We start from the raw sequence: 21,369 nt of genomic DNA, 5'->3' as shown, positions 1-21,369 counted from the left end.
TAAGCTTCATAAGTGAAGGAGAAATAAAATACTTTACAGACAAGCAAATGCTGAGAGATTTTGTCACCACCAGGCCTGCCCTAAAAGAGCTCCTGAAGGAAGCACTAAACATGGAAAGGAACAACCAGTACCAGCCACTGCAAAATCATGCCAAAATGTAAAGACCATCAAGGCTGCGAAGAAACTGCATCAACTAACGAGCAAAATAACCAGCTAACATCATAATGACAGGATCAAATTCACACATAACAATATTAACCTTAAATGTAAATGGACTAAATGCTCCAATTAAAAGACACAGCCTGGCAAATTGGATAAAGAGTCAAGACCCATCAGTGTGCTGTATTCAGGAAACCCATCTCATGTGCAGAGACACACATAGGCTCAAAATAAAGGGATGGAGGAAGATCTACCAAGCAAATGGAAAACAAAAAAAGGCAGGGGTTGCAATCCTAGTCTCTGATAAAACAGACTTTAAACCAACAGAGATCAAAAGAAGGCCATTACATAATGGTAAAGGGATCAATTCAACAAGAAGAGCTAACTATCCTAAATATATACGCACCCAATACAGGAGCACCCAGATTCATAAAGCAAGTCCTTAGAGACCTACAAAGAGACTTAGACTCCCACACAATAATAATGGGAGACTTTAACACCCCACTGTCAACATTAGACAGATCAACAAGACGGAAAGTTAACAAGGATATCCAGGAACTGAACTCAGCTCTGCACCAAGTGGACCTAATAGACATCTACAGAGCTCTCCCAACCAAATAAACAGAATATACATTCTTTTCAGCACCACATCACACCTATTCCAAAATTGACCACATAGTTGGAAGTAAAGCACCCCTCAGCAAATGTAAAAGAACAGAAATTTTAACAAACTGTCTCTCAGACCACAGTGCAATCAAACTAGAACTCAGGTTTAAGAAACTCACTCAAAACCGCTCAACTACATGGAAACTGAACAACCTGCTCCTGAATGACTACTGGGTACATAACAAAATGAAGACAGAAATAAAGATGTTCTTTGAAACCAACGAGAACAAAGACACAACATATCAGAATATCTGGGACACATTTAAAGCAGTGTGTAGAGGGAAATTTATAGCACTAAATGCCCACAAGAGAAAGCAGGAAAGATCTAAAATTCACACCCTAACATCACAATTAAAAGAATTAGAGAAGCAAGAGCAAACACATTCAAAAGCTAGCAGAAGGCAAGAAATAACTAAGATCAGAGCAGAACTGAAGGAAATGGAGACACAAAAAAACCTTCAAAAAACCAATGAATCCAGGAGCTGGTTTTTTGAAAAGATCAACAAAATTGATAGACTGCTAGCAAGACTAATAAACAGAAAAGAGAGAAGAATGAAATAGACGCAATAAAAAATGATAAAGGGGATATCACCACTGATCCCACAGAATACAAACTACCATCAGAGAATACTATAAACACCTCTATGCAAATAAACTAGAAAATCTAGAAGAAATGGATAAATTCCTTGACACGTACACCCTCCCAAGACTAAACCAGGAGGAAGTTAAATCTCTGAATAGACCAATAACAGGCTCTGAAATTGAGGCAATAATTAATAGCTTACCACCCAAAAAAAGTCCAGGACCAGATGGATTCACAGCTGAATTCTACCAGAGGTACAAGGAGGAGCTGGTACCATTCCTTCTGAAACTATTCCAATCAATAGAAAAAGAGGGAATCCTCCCTAACTCATTTTATGAAGCCAGCATCATCCTGATACCAAAGCCTGGCAGAGACACAACAAAAAAAGAGAATTTTAGACCAATATCCCTGATGAACATCAATGCAAATATCCTCAATAAAATACTGGCAAACCAAATCCAGCAGCACATCAAAAAGCTTATCCACCATGATAAAATGGGCTTCATCCCTGAGATGCAAGGCTGGTTCAACATACGCAAATCAGTAAACGTAATCCAGCATATAAACACAACCAACGACAAAAACCACATGATTATCTCAATAGATGCAGAAAAGGCCTTTGACAAAATTCAACAACCCTTCATGCTAAAAACTCTCAATAAATTAGGTATTGATGGGATGTATCTCAAAATATTAAGAGCTACCTATGACAAACCCACAGCCAATATCATACTGAATGGGCAAAAACTGGAAGCATTCCCTTTGAAAACTGGCACAAGACAGGGATGCCCTCTCTCACCACTCCTATTCAACATAGTGTTGGATGTTCTGGCCGGGGTAATCAGGCAGGAGAAGGAAATAAAGGGTATTCAATTAGGAAAAGAGGAAGTCAAATTGTCCCTGTTTGCAGATGACATGATTGTATATCTAGAAAACCCCATCGTCTCAGCCCAAAATCTCCTTAAGCTGATAAGCAACTTCAACAAAGTCCCAGGATACAAAATCAATGTACAAAAATCACAAGCATTCTTATACACCAATAACAGACAAACAGAGAGCCAAATCATGAGTGAACTCCCATTCACAATTGCTTCAAAGAGAATAAAATACCTAGGAATCCAACTTACAAGGGACGTGAAGGACCTCTTCAAGGAGAACTACAAACCACTGCTCAATACAATAAAAGAGGATACAAACAAATGGAAGAACATTCCATGCTCATGGGTAGGAAGAATCAATATCGTGAAAATGGCCATACTGCCCAAAGTAATTTATAGATTCAATGCCAACCCCATCAAGCTACCAATGACTTTCTTCACAGAATTGGAAAAAACTACTTTAAAGTTCATATGCAACCAAAAAAGAGCCCACATTGCCAAGTCAATCCTAAGCCAAAAGAACACAGCTGGAGGCATCACACTACCTGACTCCAAACTATCCTACAAGGCTACAGTAACCAAAACAGCATGGTACTGGTTCCAAAACAGAGATATAGACCAATGGAACAGAACAGAGCCCTCAGAAATAATGCCACATATCTACAACTATCTGATCTTTGACAAACCTGACAAAAACAAGCAATGGGGAAAGGATCCCCTATTTAATAAATGGTGCTGGGAACACTGGCTAGCCTTATGGAGAAAGCTGAAACTGGATCTCTTCCTTACACCTTATACAAAAATTAATTCACGATGGGTTAAAAACTTAAATATGAGACCTAAAACCATAAAAACCCTAGAAGAAAACCTAGGCATTACCATTCAGGACATAGGCATGGGCAAGGACTTCATGTCTAAAACACCAAAAGCAATGGCAACAAAAGCCAAAATTGACAAATGGGATCTAATTAAACTCAGGAGCTTCCACACAGCAAAAGAAACTACCATCAGAGTGAACAGGCAACCTACAGAATGGGAGAAAATTTTTGCAATCTACTCATCTGACAAAGGGCTAATACCCAGAATCTACAATGAACTCAAACAAATTTACAAGAAAAAAACAAACAGCCCCATCAAAAAGTGGGCGAAGGATATGAACAGACACTTGTGAAAAGAAGCCATTTATGCAGCCAAAAGACACATGAAAAAATGCTCATCATCACTGGCCATCAGAGAAATGCAAATCAAAACCACAATGAGATACCATCTCACACCAGTTAGAATGGCAATCATTAAAAAGTCAGGAAGCAACAGGTGCTGGAGAGGATGTGGAGAAATAGGAACACTTTTACACTGTTGGTGGGACTGTAAACTAGTTCAACCATCGTGGAAGTCAGTGTGGCGATTCCTCAGGGATCTAGAACTAGAAATACCATTTGACCCAGCTATCCCATTACTGGGTATATACCCAAAGGATTATAAATCATGCTACTATACAGACACATGCACACATATGTTTATTGCGGCACTATTCACAATAGCAAAGACTTGGAACCAACCCAAATGTCTAACAATGATAGACTGGATTAAGAAAATGTGGCACATATACACCATGGAATACTATGCAGCCATAAAAAATGAAGAGTTCATGTCCTTTGTAGGGACATGGATGAAGCTGGAAACCATCATTCTCAGCAAACTATCGCAAGGACAAAAAACCAAACACCACATGTTCTCACTCATAGGTGGAAATTGAACAATGAGAACACTTGGACACAAGAAAGGGAACATCACACACAGGGTCCTGTTGTGGGGTGGGGGAGGTGGGAGGGATAGCATTAGGAGATATACCTAATGTTAAATGATGAGTTAATGGGTGCAGCACACCAACATGGCACATGTATACACATGTAACTAACCTGCACGTTGTGCACATGTACCCTAAAACTTAAAGTAAAATAAATAAATAAATAAATAAATAAATAAATAAATAAATAAATAAATAAAATAAATAAAAATGGTCTTTCCGCATATATTTCTCATAAAATGAGATAGCTACTCTGGATGATCATTTGGCAGTTTCTCAAAAGCTAAGCATGCACTTGCCATACAACCCAGCAATTGCATTCTTGGGCATTTACCCCAGAGAAATAAAAACTGATGCCCACACACAAAAAAAACTGTAAGTAATTGTTCATAGCAGCTTTATTCGTAACACTTAAAAACTGAAAACAACAAAAATGCCCCTCAATAGATGAATGTTAACACAAATATTGGTACAACCATACTATGGAAAACTACTCAAAATAAAAAGATACAAACTATTGACTGATACATGCAATGACTTCAATGGATCAAGAGGATATTGTGCTCAGTGGAAAGCTCCGTCTTAGAAGGTCATATGCTGTATGACTCCATTCATATAACATTCTCTGTATGACAAAATTGTAGGGATGAAAAATAGTGGTTTCCAGGTGTTAGGGATACTGGTGGATAGTGGGGTGAGTTTCACTATAAAGGCACAGGGGACACCTGTGTGGGATGGAATTTGACTTTGATGTTGGTTATACAAATCCTCACATGTAATAAAATGACATGGAGCTACATAATACATTTGTACCAACGCCATGTTTCTGGTTTTGATATTATACTATAATCATGTAAGATAGAACCATTGGGAGAAATAAGTGAAGGGTACATAAGACCCATCTGTACTATTTTTGAAACTTTCTGTGAATCTATACTTATTTTAATTTTTTTTTTAATTTAAGATTTTTAAACCCTACTGAGGGTCTCTGGACCTTAGAAAAAAATTATCTTCCGCTTTTTCTGATCAGAGGAACTTATACAAACAGAATTGATGTTAATAAAACATATTTATACTTTACAGAATGGTACGGAATTTTCAGTGGAGTCTAGAATTGCATAGATTTTAATCAGAAATCATGTCTAAAATATTGTTCTATGGCTTCTGAGAAAGTTGAAGTTTGACCTTATTCAGGACCACTCAGGGGCCAACTTGGCTTTTGTCTGGTAGTCTGAGCAATTGCCTCTTCTCTTCCTTCTTCCGAGTTGAAAGAAATCCGCAAAGTGTCCACTCCTGATCATTAAAGTTCAGACTAGTTCATACGGGCTCACAAGAACAATGTAGCTGTCTACAATGTTAGCTGCTAGTTGTTTCTTTAATTTCTGTATTGCAGAATGCTCCTTGGTGTTTACTTCTCAATTCAAGAAAGTGTACCCAATGTCATATATATGGCCCTTGGCTTTTGGCCCTCTAATATTTGATTGGATTTAAAAGGTATTTGATCACACAGGTTTTCCACTTGCTTGTTCATGATGACCAACTCAACTGCCATTGTCTCCGTCAAGATTTCTCTGATGTCCCTCCCCAACCCCATGCCCATTGTTTTTCTTTTCTATGCCCACGTGTGACTTATACTTACAACCTATAGGTGTCACAGATTCTAGTGATATGTCAGTGCTTCCACTGAATTTTAAGATTTTGCTGGCAAAATCTTAAAGTATCTACTATTATTCTTATCATAAAATAAGCAGTAAAGAAACATTGGTTGAATTTAATTTACACAATTATTTAATAAATTTATTGCTGAAAACTCAGGCCCTAGAATTTAAGGGTTCTCAATAAGTAAAGTTATGAAAGAAAATAAACCTTGCATTTCTAAGCTGCAAGTAGGCAAACTGTAAGATTCAGTGATTTCATTACAAAACTGTAAAGCAGGCATCTCCCATATTCTTAGGGAAAATTGTTGCTTGGACAAAATTTTATTCTGAATGCAAATGCTCTAGACTAAAATCAGTGCATGCTAAGCCTTTAGCACAGTGCCAGGCACAGAGTTAGCACTCAATAAATGTTACCTACTACCTATTTCATCAGTTTTTAAGATGTACCTGTTTTGTTCACATTTTAACTTATAGAATCAGGATGCATCCTGTAATCCATGGTATCTTACAATATCTTTCAGCCAGAGGCAGTGCTGATGTAATTGTTTAAATGCCTTTCCTTGACACCATTTACTAAGATCAAGCAAGCACCAACAGCCAAGTGTCCTTGGCTTAGTGAAATATGCATATTAAAATTCTGCCTGGTTACATCCTGGAATAGTGCCTATCACAGAGTAGATGTGAATATGTGTTGAATAATAACTAATATGATAACCTTTGGTTACAATTTACAATTTAAAATACCTTGTAAATTGGAAATGTGTCTGAAAGACAAGAGCTCCCTTCCTCGGGTAATGTCTATAAATGTCAGCAGAATGTCACCCTTGTTCTGTCTTATATTCTGACATTGGCATTACCAATTATTGCAGGAAAGGTGCAAATTAGAAAGGCAGATGGTATTTTGCAAATATATGCATTGAAGGGGCAAATACCTAACTGCCAACGTGGACTAGTTTCTGTTGCCGTTTCTTCTCCACAGAGTTGATCTTGAGCTATTTCCTGCTTTCTTGGTAGAAGATGCATTCCCTATGTTACTCATTTCCAAAAGCAGCATGAGTTACTTAGTCTTAAAAAAGCAATGTGAATTTCTTGTGATAATAAAATATACATGGCTCAAGTGCAATTTTTTAAAAATCATGTAGTATAGCCATTATAAAAAAACATTATCAGGCTCCCTCAAAAAAGTAAAAATGGAAGTACCATACGATCCAGCAATTCCACTACTGGGTATATATCCAAAGGAAATGAAATCAGTATGTTACAGAGGTATCTGCACCCTCATGTTCACTGCAACTTTATTCACAATAGCCAAGATATAAAACCAACATAAGTGTCCATCAATGAATGAGTAGATGAAGGAAATGTGATACATAGACACAATGAAATACTATTTAGCCTTTTAAAGGAAAGAAATCTTGTCATTTGCAACCACATGGATGAACCTGGAGGATATGATGTTACATAAAATAAGCCAGGAACAGAAAGATAAATACTGCATGGTCTCACTTATGCGTGGAATCTAAGAAAGTCAAACTCGTAGAAGCAGAGAGTAGAATGATGGTTATCAGGGGTTGGGGGGTTGAAGGAGTAGGAGGTTGGAGAGACATTGGTCAAAAGATAACAAAATTTCAGTTAGGGGAAATAAGTTCAAGAGACCTATTGAAAAACATGGTGACTACAGTTAATAACAATGTACTGTATTCTTGATAATTGCTGAAAGTAGATTTTAAGTGTTCTCACCACAAAAATTGATAATTATATAAGGTAATGTATATGTTAATTAGCTCCATTTATCCATTCCACAATGTATGCATATTTCAAAACATCATGTTGTACCATAAATATATACAAATTTTCTTTATCAATTTTTAAAATTGATTTTTTTAAAGAATCATTGGAGGAAAGACAGTATCAGAGGTCTTTTTCTCTTAAATCTGATAGGGTGTATTTCCCAGTTTCCTCCCTTGACTTTGAGACTTTATAGAAAAGATACAATGATAATTTTCTGTTTTAATTTCCAGGATACAAGAGAATTTAGGAAGAAATATACAAATAAAAACACAGAGAAAAAGACGTCCTCTGAAATTCATCTCTTCTCTTTTACTGTCATTAACCACTTCCCATAAATCAGGCATTTTACCTCCTTCTCACCCAACAAGTCGAACCAGCCACTAAGTCCTGGACATTCTGCCTGCAGGATAGTCACTGTCCTTCTGCCCATCTCCACGTCTACTGCCAGTTCAAGTTCAGGCTCTTCCTATCCAGCCCAGGTTATAATAGCCTCTAGTTATATAATTTTCTCTAGTCCAGTCTTTGCTGTTTTGAGGTGTCCTACACTGATGGAAACGGATTATCAATTTCACATTCAAAAATTTTCAGAAGCTTTTTCTTGCCACTTTGATGGCTAATAGACATCCAAACTCAGTATGTCCAAAACTATGGCCCTGGCCTTTCCTTCCAAACTCTTACTTTCCATAACCTTTCTATTGCAGTTGATGGTAGACATCTCAAAATCAATGTGTTCAACTTGCAAGACCCAATTTATTTATTTATTTATTTATTTATTTATTTATTTATTTATTGATTTGAGACAGAGTCTCATTCTGTTGCCCAGGCTGGAATGCAATGGCGCGATCTCGGCTCACTGCAACCTCTGTCTCCTGGATTCAAGCAATTCTCCTGCCTCAGCCTCCCAGGTAGCTGGGATTACAGGCGTGCGCCACCAGGCCCGGCTAATTTTTTGTATTTTTAGTAGAAATGGGGTTTCACCATGTTGGTCAGGCTGGTCTCAAACTCCTGACCTCGTGATCCGCCTGCCTTGGCCTCCCAAAGTGCTGGGATTACAGGCGTGAGCCACCGCGCCCAGCCCACAACACCCAATTTGTGTTTCAAAACTCACTCCTCCCACAGTCTTCCCCGTCATTCCAGTTAATTGGGGGCAAAAGATTTCAAATCTTTCTTGACACCTCTCTTATCCCCACATCTAATATCCAATCCATCAGAAAAAAAAAAAAATCTGTCAACTCTAATGTCAAAATAAATAGCCAGAATCCAGCTACTTCCTGATACCTCCATTGTTATTTCCATTAATACCTGGTTTGAGCCACTCTGGGCTTTTGTCTGGACTGCTGTAATAGCCCCTTCTCTAGCTTCCCAACTTCTATGTTTGACCCTCTAAAGTCTACTATTCTTATCACAGGACTGCATGATCTTTTAAAAACATAAACCAGGCCAGACACGGTGGCTCATGCCTGTAATCCCAGCACTTTGGGAGGCCGAGGCAGGTGGATCACCTGAATTCAGGAGTTCAAAACCAGCCTGGCCAAACTGGTGAAACCCCATCTCTACTAAAAATATAAAAATTACCTTGGCATGGTGGCGGATGCCTGTAATCCCAGCTACTCGGGAGGCCGAGGCAGGAGAATCACTTGAACCCGAGAGGCGGATGTTGTAGTCAACCGAGATCATGTCATTGCACTCCAGCCTAGGCAACAGAGTGAGACTCCATCTCAAAAAAAAAAGAAGAAAAAAGCCATAAATCAGATTTTATTACTCCTTTGTTCAAGACTTGACAATGGCACTCGATTTCTTAGAATAGTTTGCAAAGCCTCCAGGATCTGCCCGCTATTTCACCTCTCTGACCTCATCTTCTCCTGCTCCCCTTCTCATTCACTCCACTGCAGCCACATTGACCATCTTGTTGAGTTCTCTAAACAAACCAAACATGCTCCCAAACTGAGGTCTTTGTAAAGTCTAGTCCCTCTGCAGGAACTCCTCTTTCCCTGGATATTTACCTAGCTAACTCCCTTACATCCTTTATATTTTTGTTGAAATGTCATCTCCTCAATGAATAAAATACCTTATACAAAATCAAACCCTCCCCACTGCCCAGGATGCCTGAGCCCCCTTACCATGCCCTGCCTTTATTTTTCCAAAGTGTCACTTACCCCCTTCTAACACACTGTACTATTTTCTTATTTATTATTTTTATTGTCTTTCTCTCCCTGATGCAATAGAAGCTCCACAAATACAGGGATCTTTGTCTTTTTTGTTCATGGATGTACACCAAGCAACCATAACTGTGCTGGATACATGTGAGCACTCAATTATTTTTTAGTGAACTGAATTAATTAAATGCCAAACAAGAATAAGCTTTCCAGGCATGGTAGGAAAACACCCACACAATAACTTCTAACACATTTTCCCATTTTAATCTACTTCAGTACTTTAATTTTTCTATGCTTCAAGCTGGTGTGCAGTGGCAGGATCTTGGCTCACTGCAACCTCCGCTTCCTGAGTTCAAGCTATTCTCGTGCCTCAGCCTCCTGAGTAGCTGGGATTACAGGCGCGCACTACTACGTCCGGCTAATTTTTCTATTTTTAGTAAAGACGGGGTTTCACCATGTTGGCCAGGCTGGTCTCGAACTCCTGACCTCAAGTGATCCACCCGCTTAAGCCTCCCAAAGTGCTGGGATTACAGGCATAAGCCACTGCGTTAGTTCTTTTTTATGAAAATAAAATACTAGGATAAAATATTCCTTCATTTAAAAGTTTTAACTCTGGGTCACCTGTCCAAGTTCCGATGCTAAAAAAGGAGACTGATGCCGCTGCCTTTCAGTGGTTTCCAAGGTGGTTGCTTGCACAATGGCTAAGTCAAGATGGAATAGCGCCATCTGCTGTCAGCCCTCTGATCTCAATGGAATTACTGATTTGGGCTGTTAGCTTCTTGAACTTTGTTATAATTCCCATGTTATCACACAAAAATTTTTTCTTTTTTTTTTTTTTTTGAGACAGAGTCTCGCTCTGTCACCCAGGCTGGAGTGCAGTGGCGCGATCTCGGCTCACTGCAACCTCCGCCTCCCAGGTTCAAGCGATTCTCCTGCCTCAGCCTCCAGACTAGCTGGGACTACAGGCACCTGCCACCAGGCCTGGCTAATTTTTTGTATTTTTAGTAGAGACGGGGTTTCACCGTGTTAGGCAGGATGGTCTCGATCTCCTGACCTCGTGATCTGCCTACCTCGGCCTTCCAAAGTGCTGGGATTACAGGTGTGAGCCACCGCACCCGGCCCTACTTTTTTCTTTTTGAGTCAGTGTCTCACTCTGTCGCCGAGACTGGAGTGCAGCAGCGTGATCATGGTTCATGGCAGCCTCGATCTCCTGCCGATCCTCCCACCTCAGCCTACCAAGTAGCTGAGACCACAGGGACACCATCACCATACTTGGCAATTTTTATTTTTTTGTAGAAATGAGGTCTTGCCATGTTGCCCAGGTTGGTCTTGAACACCTAACCTCAAACAGTTCTCCTGCCTGGGCCTCCGTAAGTGCTGGGATTACAGGCATGAGTCACTGAGCCTAGCTGCACACAAAATTTTTTAATCTGGCAATCTCAATTTTGTCTTTCTGTCTTTCCTCCTCCTCCTCCTCCTCCTTCTCTTCATCTTCTTCTTCTTCCTCTTCCTCTTCTTCTCTTTTTTCTTTCTTCTTCTTCTCCTTATCCTTCTTGCAAATTACATTACTACACTCACCTTTACAGTGATTTCAAGATTTCAACTGCTTTAGAGAAGTGAAATGACACAGTTAAGCAGTGGAAATACTTGGGCATGAATTACAATTCTCTGGCCTGGAATGCACCTCCTAGCAGGTTCACGTTAGTCAGTGGAGTGTTTCAAGATAATTCAAGTTATGAATGACTAAACGAGACGGACATTAGATCAAAGGGCCCCCAATGTTGCCAAGCACAAATGGTTTATTTTTCTTGAAAATGTCCTTGTGAATTTAGACAAAATTTTGTCTCCTTGAGCATACTATCCTTCAGGTGAACTAAATACCTTACCTCCATTTATTTATTTATTTAGAGACAGGGTCTGGCTCAGGTTGGAGTGCAGTGGCGTTACCTTGGCTCACTGCATGCAACCTCTGACTCCTGAGTTTACATGATCCTCCCACCTCAGCCTCCCAAGTAGCCGGGACTACAGGTATGCACCACCACACCTGCCTAGTCTTTGTATTTTTTGTAGAGATGGGGTTTTGCCATGTTGCCCAACCTGCTCTGGAACCCCAGCGCTCAAGTGATCTGCCTGTCTCAGTGTCCCCAAACACTGGGATTACAGGCATGAGCCACCTCACCTGACTGTATTTATTCTATACAAAGTAAGTTTGTAATTACTACCCAAAAAATTGTCTAACTGATATTATATAACTTAAATATAGAGTTTTATAATAATATAATAATATAATAACTTTTATAACTTAAATAAAAAAGAAAATAATTCATCCAGGGAAATGCAGTAAATTTCAGATCTCATCTCTGGAAACTTAAGGAAAGAGTTAAGGTAGTAATCCCAGTTTTTCTAGCATATTAGTCATTTGACATAATGTTTAACGGTCCTGAATAAAGATAATAGAACATTTCCTGCAGTAAAAATGTGCTTATGTCCTGATTTTTAGAAAGGTAGATGTCCTTTTTTTCCCCATAAGTGATTGCTATGTTCATTGCTTATCATAGAGTCTATTCAATAAAGGCAACATTAGTCTATCTGACTCTAAATGTCATTGGTTCATCCAACAAACATTTATTGGGGGACTACTCTGTGCCACACTCTGTTGTAGATGATGGTGATTTAACAGAATCCAAATCTGACAAATTCCCTGTCTTCAAGGAGCTCATGTTCCAGTTGTTGGTTGTTCATTCATTCCTTTTTTTTTTTTCAGCTAGGTTGGGAAGACTGACAATCCCTGCCCTCTTGTCAACTGGGGGAAAACAAACAGTAAGCATGATAATTTAAACATATAGTGTGTTGGCCGTGAGTGGTGGCTCACGCCTGTAATCCCAGCACTTTGGGAGGCCAAGGCAGGCAAATCACTTGAGGTCAGGAGTTAGAGACCAGCCTGGCCAACATGGTGAAACCCCATCTCTACTAAAAATACAAAAATTAGCTAGGTGTGATGGTAGGCACCTGTAATCCCAGCTGCTCGGGAGGCTGAGGCAGGAGAATCGTCTGAACCTGGCAGGTGGAGGTTGCAGTGAGCTGAGATTGTACCACTGCACTCCAGCCTGGGCAACAGAGTGAGAATCCATTTCCAAAAATAAAATAAAATAATTAGTTAAAACTATAGCATGTTGCATGGTGTTATGGGTTGAATTGTGTCCTCTCCAAATACCTATGTAGAAGTCTTATCCCTTAGAGCCTAAGAGAGTGACCTTATTCGGAAATAGGGTCATTGCAGGTTTCATTAGTTAAGGTAAGATGAGATCATATGGAGTAGGGTGGACTCCTAATCCAATATGACTAGTATCCTTATAAAAAGGGGAACTATGCACAGTGATACACGCACATAGGGAGATGCCATGTGAATATGAGGGCAGAGATCAGGGTGACGGGCCTACAAACCGGGAACACCAACATTGCCAACAAAGCCAGAAGCTAGAAGAGAGGCATGGACAGATTCTCTCTTAAACCTTCAGAAGGAACCAACCCTGCTAACGCTTTGATCTCATGCTGGTAGTCTGCAGAACTATGAGATGATATATTTCTGTTGTTCTAAGCCACCTCGTTTTTAGTACTTTGATACGGCAGTACTAGGAAACTAATACAATAGTGATGAGTTCTACACAGAAATAATTAAAGCAGGGAAAGAGGATATAGAGTGTGGCAGTTATGATTTAAAATGGAGTAAGCGACTGTCTTAATGGGGACAGAGTGTTTTCTTTTGGGGTGATAAAAAACATTTTAGAACTAGTTAGAAGTGATCGTTGTATAACATTGTCAATGTCCTACATACCACTAAGCTGTACACTTTAAAATAATTTTTTTTTTTTAAGACAGGGTCTGGCTCTGTCACCCATGCTGGAGTGCAGTGGTGCAATCTCAGCTCACTGCAACCTCCACCTCCTGGGCTCAGGTGATCCTCTCACCTCAGCCTCCCAAGTAGCTGGGACTACAGGCACACGCCACCAAAAATTAGCCACACCAGGCTAATTTTTGTATTTTTTTGTAAAGACAGGGTCTCAGTATGTTGCCCAGGCTGGTCTTGAACTCCTGAGATCAAGAAATTCACGCACCTCTGCCTCATAAAGTGCTAGGATTACAGGTGTGAGCCACCATGCCCAGCCTTAAAATAATTTTATGTTACATGAATTTTATCTCAATTTTTTAAAAAAATTGTGTCCAGGGAAGTCCTCTCTGGGAAGGTGAAATATTAGTAAAGACTTGAAGGTGTAAGCTCTATGAGGACAGAAGGTAATAATTCATATTCATATAGTAGGTACTCAGGAAATACGTGTTAAATGAGCAATAAATGAATGGAGAAGAGAAAGGACTCTATGCCTTTTAAAAGTGACTGACATTTTTAAAAATCTTTTTATTATGGGCACTATAAAGGATGGAACAATAAGGCCCTATGCATACATAACTTGTCTTCAACATTCATCAATATTTTGCCAATTTTTCTTATCTCTTTCCACACCAGTGTTTTTTGCTCCAGTGTTTTAAAGCGAATCCCAAACACCATACAATTTTACTTGTAAATACTTCATTGTGTTTCTTAAAAGATAAGCCTTTTGACTTACATATTTACAGAATCACTCTGGCAACTATGCTGGGAATTGATAGAAAAGGAGGAAAAGGTAAAGACTTAGGTAACTTCTGCCATCACACAGGTAAGAGACAAGGTGATAGCAATGAAAGGAGTGAGAAGCATTTGCTGGTGAATTGGATGTGGTAAAAGAGAGATGGATGCAAGGCTGATGCCAAGGTTTCTGAGCGGAGCAACTGGAAGAGTGGAATTGTCCTTAACCAAGATGAGAACCACTGTAGAGAAGCAGCTTTAGGTGGGCAGAAAATGAGGACAGGAGCTCAATAAGTTTCTCAAACAAAAATTTCTGGATCAAAAGGATGTTGGCACTAAATTTGAAGTGATTTCCACTTAGGATCCTTATTTGTTATGCAGTAGTGAGACTTCCCAACTGCATAGGAAGAGCTGATCTGTTTAGCCCAAAGGTACCAAAGCAATGCAGATTTCAGTGACTACATCATGGCCTGTTGAAAGCAGAAACAATAACTGGTCCTATATTTTATGTGACAGAGAGTGTTAATTATCTCCCAATACCTCTTCTCCACTTTTTCTATGGTGTTAAAGCAAACTAAATGTGGCCTGAAAAGGACTCCACACTTCTGTATTTGAATTCTTGTGGATAACCTGCAACCTAACTTAATAGGTAGACAAGCTTGAAAACCTAACTTGGGAGTATGAGCCTGTGACAACAGCTAAGTCTTGGCCAATCCCAGAGCCATACTTCAACTACTCATACACTGATAAGCGTTCAAACTGTGTTCAAATAAGGGAAGTGTGGAGCTGTAACCAATCCAGTTGTTTCTGTACCTCACTTCTGATTTCTGTAGGTCACTTCCCTTTTTTTTTGTCTACAGATTTGTTCTGGAGTCTCCCTGAATCTGCTGTGAATCTGAGGACTGCCCAATCTGTGAGTCTTTCATTGCTCAGTTAAACTCCTTTACACTTAATTGGGCTGAAGTTTTTCTTTAACAATGGTAATATGTTTTTGCTGGTACGTGACTCTCCAGGATAAAGACTAAATTTCTCCAACTGCCCCTGGAGCCAGGAGCAGTATTATGAGTAATTCTGTCTAGTGCATAGAAATGTCATGGGGCACCTTCCTCATGAGATGGCCCGTGAGCCCTTTGACCATTATTCTTTGTCACTTTGTCCCTGATGCCTGGTGTGTAGATGTCACATCTGGCTGGAGCTCTGGCACTCCAGCCACTGTCTTGAATGAAGAGAATGGGGCTATTCCTTGGGTATCCCTGAAAGACATTTAGGTTTCTGCAGAACAGACCTGACATACCATTCCTAATGGCAACGCCCTAAGCTTTTTTGGTGAGAGAGAAATAAACTTTTGTGTTGTTTATTTTTCTGTTTTGATAATAGCCACACTAATTCTAACTAATATAATCCAGAATTAGAGCTACAGATCATTTAATCTTACACTTTGTAGATAAATAAAGTGAGAATCAGAGAAAGCCAGTGATATAGGCAGTCACTTCTATTAGATCTGAAGCCAGCGCTCCACAATTCCTCCCCTTTTTGAATCACCTTCTAGCCTCAAAGAGGAAAGGTCCTATATATAGTGCCAGATGATCAGTAACTAATGTGAAGATTTTAAAAATAACTTGACAAAGAAAATTAATAATAATATCTACCATTTATTAAACACATTATATGTCCCAAGTTCTGTACTAAGAGTCTTACTGAAATTATTTCATTTAATCCTCACAACTTTATGAAGTATTATTAATATTCTCATTTTTCATTTAAGGAAACAAAAGTTTCAAGAAATTGATTGATTTTCCCATGTGTTCACAATTAGTGAATGGCTAAACCAGAACACATTAACCCAGGCTTGACTGGCACCAAACTCTATGGTCTTCACTACTATGTAAAAATAAATGAAAGCAGATGTTGGCTGGTTGCCACTTGTATAAGCCATCTGACTGGAGCCCTTTTCTTTGTAACCATTTCTTTGCTACTTGGGAGCAGGAAGCTCAGCTTCAGCATACTGTGCTCTCTATGAAATTATTTTCCTCCTGCTACACAGGGATTTTCCTTCTGTTTATATGTACTCTTAATCTACAATGTACATCATAGAAAGAAATGAAATTCTCTATTCACAAATACAGGCCCACCTATAGCATCTAATTAGAAATCTTGTTTGTTTGTTTGTTTTTGAGACAGAGTCTTGTGCTATTGTCCAGGCTGGAGTGCAGTGGTGCGATCTCGGCTCACTGCATCCTCCACCTCCTGGGTTCAAGGGATTCTCCTGCCTCAACCTCCTGAGCAGCTGGGACTAAAGGCACGCACCACCACATCAGGCTAATTTTTGTATTTTTAGTGGAGATGGGATTTCGCCATGTTGGCCAGGCTGGTCTCGGACTCCTGACCTTAGGTGATCCGCCCACCTCAGCCTCCCAGCCTCGAACTCCTGGGCTCAAGTGATCCTCCCACTTCAGCCTCCCTAGTACCTGGGACTACAGGTGCACACCACCGCACCAAGCTACTTTTTAAATATTTTGTCATGAGAGGGTCTCTTTTTGTTGCTTAAGCTGGTCTTGAACTCCTGGCCTCAAGCGATCCTCCTGCCTCAGCCTTCCAAAGTGCTGGCATTTTAGGCATGAACCACCGCACTCAGACAGGATTTTTTTTTTTTTTTTAGGAAAATGAAGTTTTCTGTCTTTTATAAAATTGTTGATAGCTCATAAATTCATCTGTGACATACAAGGTCTAAACCCACCACTCTCTCACCCCTCTTTTCCCCACAACACTAAGTTCTTTCATGTCTCCTTGCTTTGACTATACTCCTCTCCTGGCAAGAACGACCAGCTCCTACTCATCCTTCCAGACCTGCTTCAAATGGCTCCCCTTCTTCGAATCCCCTCCCTCCTGCTCACCAGGCAGGTAACTTGCTCTCCTCTGGGCCCACTATGCTTGGCTCAGCTCCCTCTTTCACCCGTTCCCTAATTGGATTTGACTTCTCAGCTTATACGACTATTTCCTCCACCAGATTCACAGCAATGTGACATCAGGGAACATGTCTTCTGCTGTTCTGAATTTTTAACACAGAACAGTATTAAGTTATGGGCACATAATAGGTAAATTTTTTTTATTGATACATAATAGTTGCACATATTTATGAGGTACATGTGATATTTTGTGGTAGATAAATACTTATTGAATGAAGAAATGAATAAAAAATCTAATAGAAATGGCATTTTATGGTATTATTCTCTGCATAAATTGATGACAAGGTTTAAAGTAAGTTATTTGGAGTAAACAGTTTTATTATTTTATAATATTGAATTCAAAATTAATTTACTATATAAGCAAGAAATTATCCAAAAACAATTCCTCTGTCAAAGCCTTTCTTTTCCATAACTAGTCTTGACATTTCGACTACATATTTTGAATTGTTTACAAGTCATGGTTGTGCCAGAAACACAACTTCTTCATTAGATTTTAAGGGGTTTGATGGTTATAAATGTCCTTTTTATGGTATTCAGACATCTCCCCCCCTTTAAATCCAAATGAAAATTTTACTGAGCTAATAAATCATCAGTTCTATTACTGCTGCAAATTATAACTCTGTTTAGTTTTACAAAAATGCCAGATGTTGTATGATTTTGGTCAAAACTAAAAGTGTAAACTGTCTAAGGTCACTAGCTGCCAATCGCCTCCTACAGATAAGCATGTTTAACTTAAAACATACTACATAAACATGAGTAAATATAATCCTTTCTCCTATTCAACTGAACAATTATTCATATAATTCCTTGCATATTTTCAGAATGCTAGTCTGCAAGTTAATCTTCTAGGAATAGAATCTCAGAAATTAAATAGAAAAGGCCTTGAAATTGGTAGTGTAGTAATATACTATTCAGAGCGATAATACTATTGAAATGATGAGCTATTATATAGTTCCTTATCTCTCACAATAAAATATGATTTTAAATGAAGTCTATTTTTTCCTCCCCAGTCTAGTTCTAAAATTTTTCTCCACCTGCCTCACTCCAGAATAGTATGTCAGTGTCTCTAGCATAAGGAGAGGAGACTAAATACAACAGGCCAACATCCAAAACACAGAATAGCTTGGAAAATGGAAAAAGATATTCTTTCTTTCATGAGCACATTTCCCTTACCTAAATATCTCTAAAGTTAAAGTAAAAAGTAAGCCTAAAGTTGAAGTAAAAAAGGGTTAAAATTAATTTGTAAGCCGAGGTGGATGGGTTGCTTGAACCCAGGAGTTTGAGACCAGCCTGGGCAACATTATGAAACACTGTCTGTAAAAAAAAATACAAATAATTAGCCAGGTGTGGTGATGTGCGCCTGTAGTCCCAGCTACCCAGGAGGCTGAAGTGGGAGAACCACCTGGACCTATGAGGTGGAGGCTACAGTGAGCTGTGATTACACCATTGCCCTCCAGCCTGGGCAACAGGTGAAACCTTGCCTAAAAAAAAAAAAAAATTTTTTTTTAAATTAATTGTGTATAATATTTAATATATCTAAAATGTTACCAATTTGGCATGTAATCAATAAAAAATAAAACATTACATGTTTAAATTGAAATCCAGGGTGTATTTTACACTTAAGGAACATCTCAATCCAAACTAGCTACATTTCAGTGCTTAACAGTTACGTGTGGCTAGTGGCTATCATACTGAATAGTGTGAAGTCTGAAATATACTCTCCTTTATTAGCCTTAAGAAAACTTTTTGAAAAACACCAACTTGGAACACGAAGAAAACAATGAACTGTTAACAAACATTGTAATTTGCCTACAATTATGTTACCTATTCAGGAGTTTTTCCAGTGGCAGGATCTATTGTTGACAAGATCTTCATAATGTACAGTTATTATATATTAAATCAAATAAAATTCACTTGTGTGCACCTAAAATCAGGAGCTCTAAGCCACTACAAAGAGTAATGAATGTATTCACCAGAAGTCAGAATCTAAGACTTTTTTTGCTATTCTTAACAATCCAGATTCCTTTACATCAATTTGGATAAAAGCATGGCATTGTCATAAATGGAAAAGGGTATGATATAACTTTGATATCATCAGTTCTCCAGTGAACATGGTAAAGTCCTCTAGCTGACAAAAGTATTTTTAGTCCAGAACCCAGAGTGAATAAAGATCACGGTCTAATTTATCATGCTCTGGATGGCCTCTACCCATTGCCAAAGGCATTCCATGTGCATGCCTTGACCACATGCAAATATCTCTAAAACACTTAACCCACAGCTGGAGAGATTGTAGTTCTACTGCCAAAGTCCTAATTGGAATAATTTCAATGTAAATGTTGGACCCATCTTATCCCCCCCATTTTGGCTAGCTGCACAAAGAAAGTCACACAGAGAGAAAATAAACTATTGAAATAATTCAGTTCAGTGTTGACAGAGCCTACTTTAAACGGCCAGCATAATTGTTCAAAATGTTCCCTGCATAAATCAGTTTAAATGACATTTTTAAAATGACCACGCTGCTCTGCCAATGGAATAGCCATTCTTTTATTCCTTAACTTTCTTAATAAACTTAAAAAAGAACAAAACTAAAAAAATTAAAAAATTAAATGACCAAAATAGTGCCTCGACTGCCAGCAATTTGACTGGAAATATATAGAAAGGTTTTCCTCCTCTCTTTTAGAAGCTGTACTTCCAGTGGAAGAAAATTATTTATACCATTTTATATTGTGTGAGAGAAGGTTAAATATAAATAATTTAAAATTTTAAATAATTATTTCACATTTTCTTTGATGTTTTTTGTTTTTTAATGAATCCTTTACCTTTATTAGAAAGAAAAAACAGTTCCATATAGTACACAAACTACATCATGAGTAAATCTTAATATTTATAATTCAAAAAAGAAATGAACACTTTTATAAATGTATTACTCAGTAATTAGGTTAAATATGAACATATAGTTAAAACTAATTTATAAAGAAACACTCATTATTTTACAAATGCTCAACGTGTACCCCTCGTGACACATGGCACACATCAATCCTGTATTTAATTAATCCCAGACCCTTTATAGCATATCATGGATAAGGTTTGGAATGGCAGCTCTGTACAATCTTTTATTTCCTCAAGGCAATAAGGAAAATCTACACTTTCGTGCATCTTACCTAATAGAATTAGTTAATTGTATTTGGCTATTTCTGCATGTGACTGTTTTAGATGTATTTGATATGTATTCATCTGTAGCCCTAAATCTATTACATATTTCTTATTTGCACACACCAAATCCTTTTGATCCGTATTCCTTCAGTGTAAGCTGCCTTTTTATAGCACCTAATGCTCAGAACCATCAAAGTAGCTTTCAAAAGTGATCACCTATCATAAAATAAGAGACAAATTTGATAAACCAAGAAATAGCAATCTAAACATATTATTTTAAGGATATGGAAGTCACCCTTAGGAGAACTCAAAATAGAAATGGCTAAAAGAAATTGCCCCCAGAAAGCAAAATTAGGTGTGAAAAGAGTGGGGCCTAGATTGGGTAATTTCATAAAACCTGCTTAGAAAGCACTCAGGACAAGTTAGACATCATTATTATCACCATCATTATTGTTAGTAACATTATTAACATTATAGGCTTGTCTATGTATTTGATATCATTTAAACCATAGATTAATTACTTTGGCTTTCTTTATTTAAAAAAAAGCAAAACAAAAAAGACTAGGCTGGGCACGGTGGCTCACGCCTGTAATCCCAGCACTTTGGGAGGCTGAGGCGAGCAGATCACGAGGTCAAGATATCAAGACCATTCTGACCAACATGGTGAAACCCCGTCTCTACTAAAAATACAAAAAATTAGCTGGGCATGGTGGCAGGCGCCTGTAATCCCACCTACCTGGGAGACTGAGGCAGGAGAATGGCTTGAACCGGGGAGGCGGAGGTTGCAGTGAGCTGAGATCATACCATTGCACTCCAGCCTGGGCAAAAAGAGCGAAACTGTCTCAAAAAAAAAGAAAAAAATACTTACTTGGAAAAACTAGGATTTAGAAGTGTAAAAAACTTTTCAGATTATTATTCCAGTTACCTCATT

At 38.6% G+C, this 21,369-nt stretch overlaps 2 annotated features.

The window, feature by feature from the left end:
• Positions 10,291 to 10,585: a silencer, noted in NCBI's record as "tiled region #5470; K562 Repressive DNase matched - State 12:CtcfO". NCBI's record gives its function as "represses a minimal TATA promoter and a strong SV40 promoter by Sharpr-MPRA in K562 cells {active_cell/tissue: K562}" and the evidence as "EXISTENCE:reporter gene assay evidence [ECO:0000049][PMID:27701403]".
• Positions 15,023 to 15,142: a silencer, noted in NCBI's record as "silent region_15629". NCBI's record gives its function as "represses an Ori minimal core promoter by ATAC-STARR-seq in GM12878 lymphoblastoid cells {active_cell/tissue: GM12878}" and the evidence as "EXISTENCE:reporter gene assay evidence [ECO:0000049][PMID:35858748]".

This window comes from Homo sapiens, chromosome 4, assembly GCF_000001405.40.
Source record: "Homo sapiens chromosome 4, GRCh38.p14 Primary Assembly".
Taxonomy (NCBI): domain Eukaryota; kingdom Metazoa; phylum Chordata; class Mammalia; order Primates; family Hominidae; genus Homo; species Homo sapiens.
Note: the sequence above shows the minus strand (reverse complement) of the source record. Positions and strands in the feature narration are given on the sequence as shown.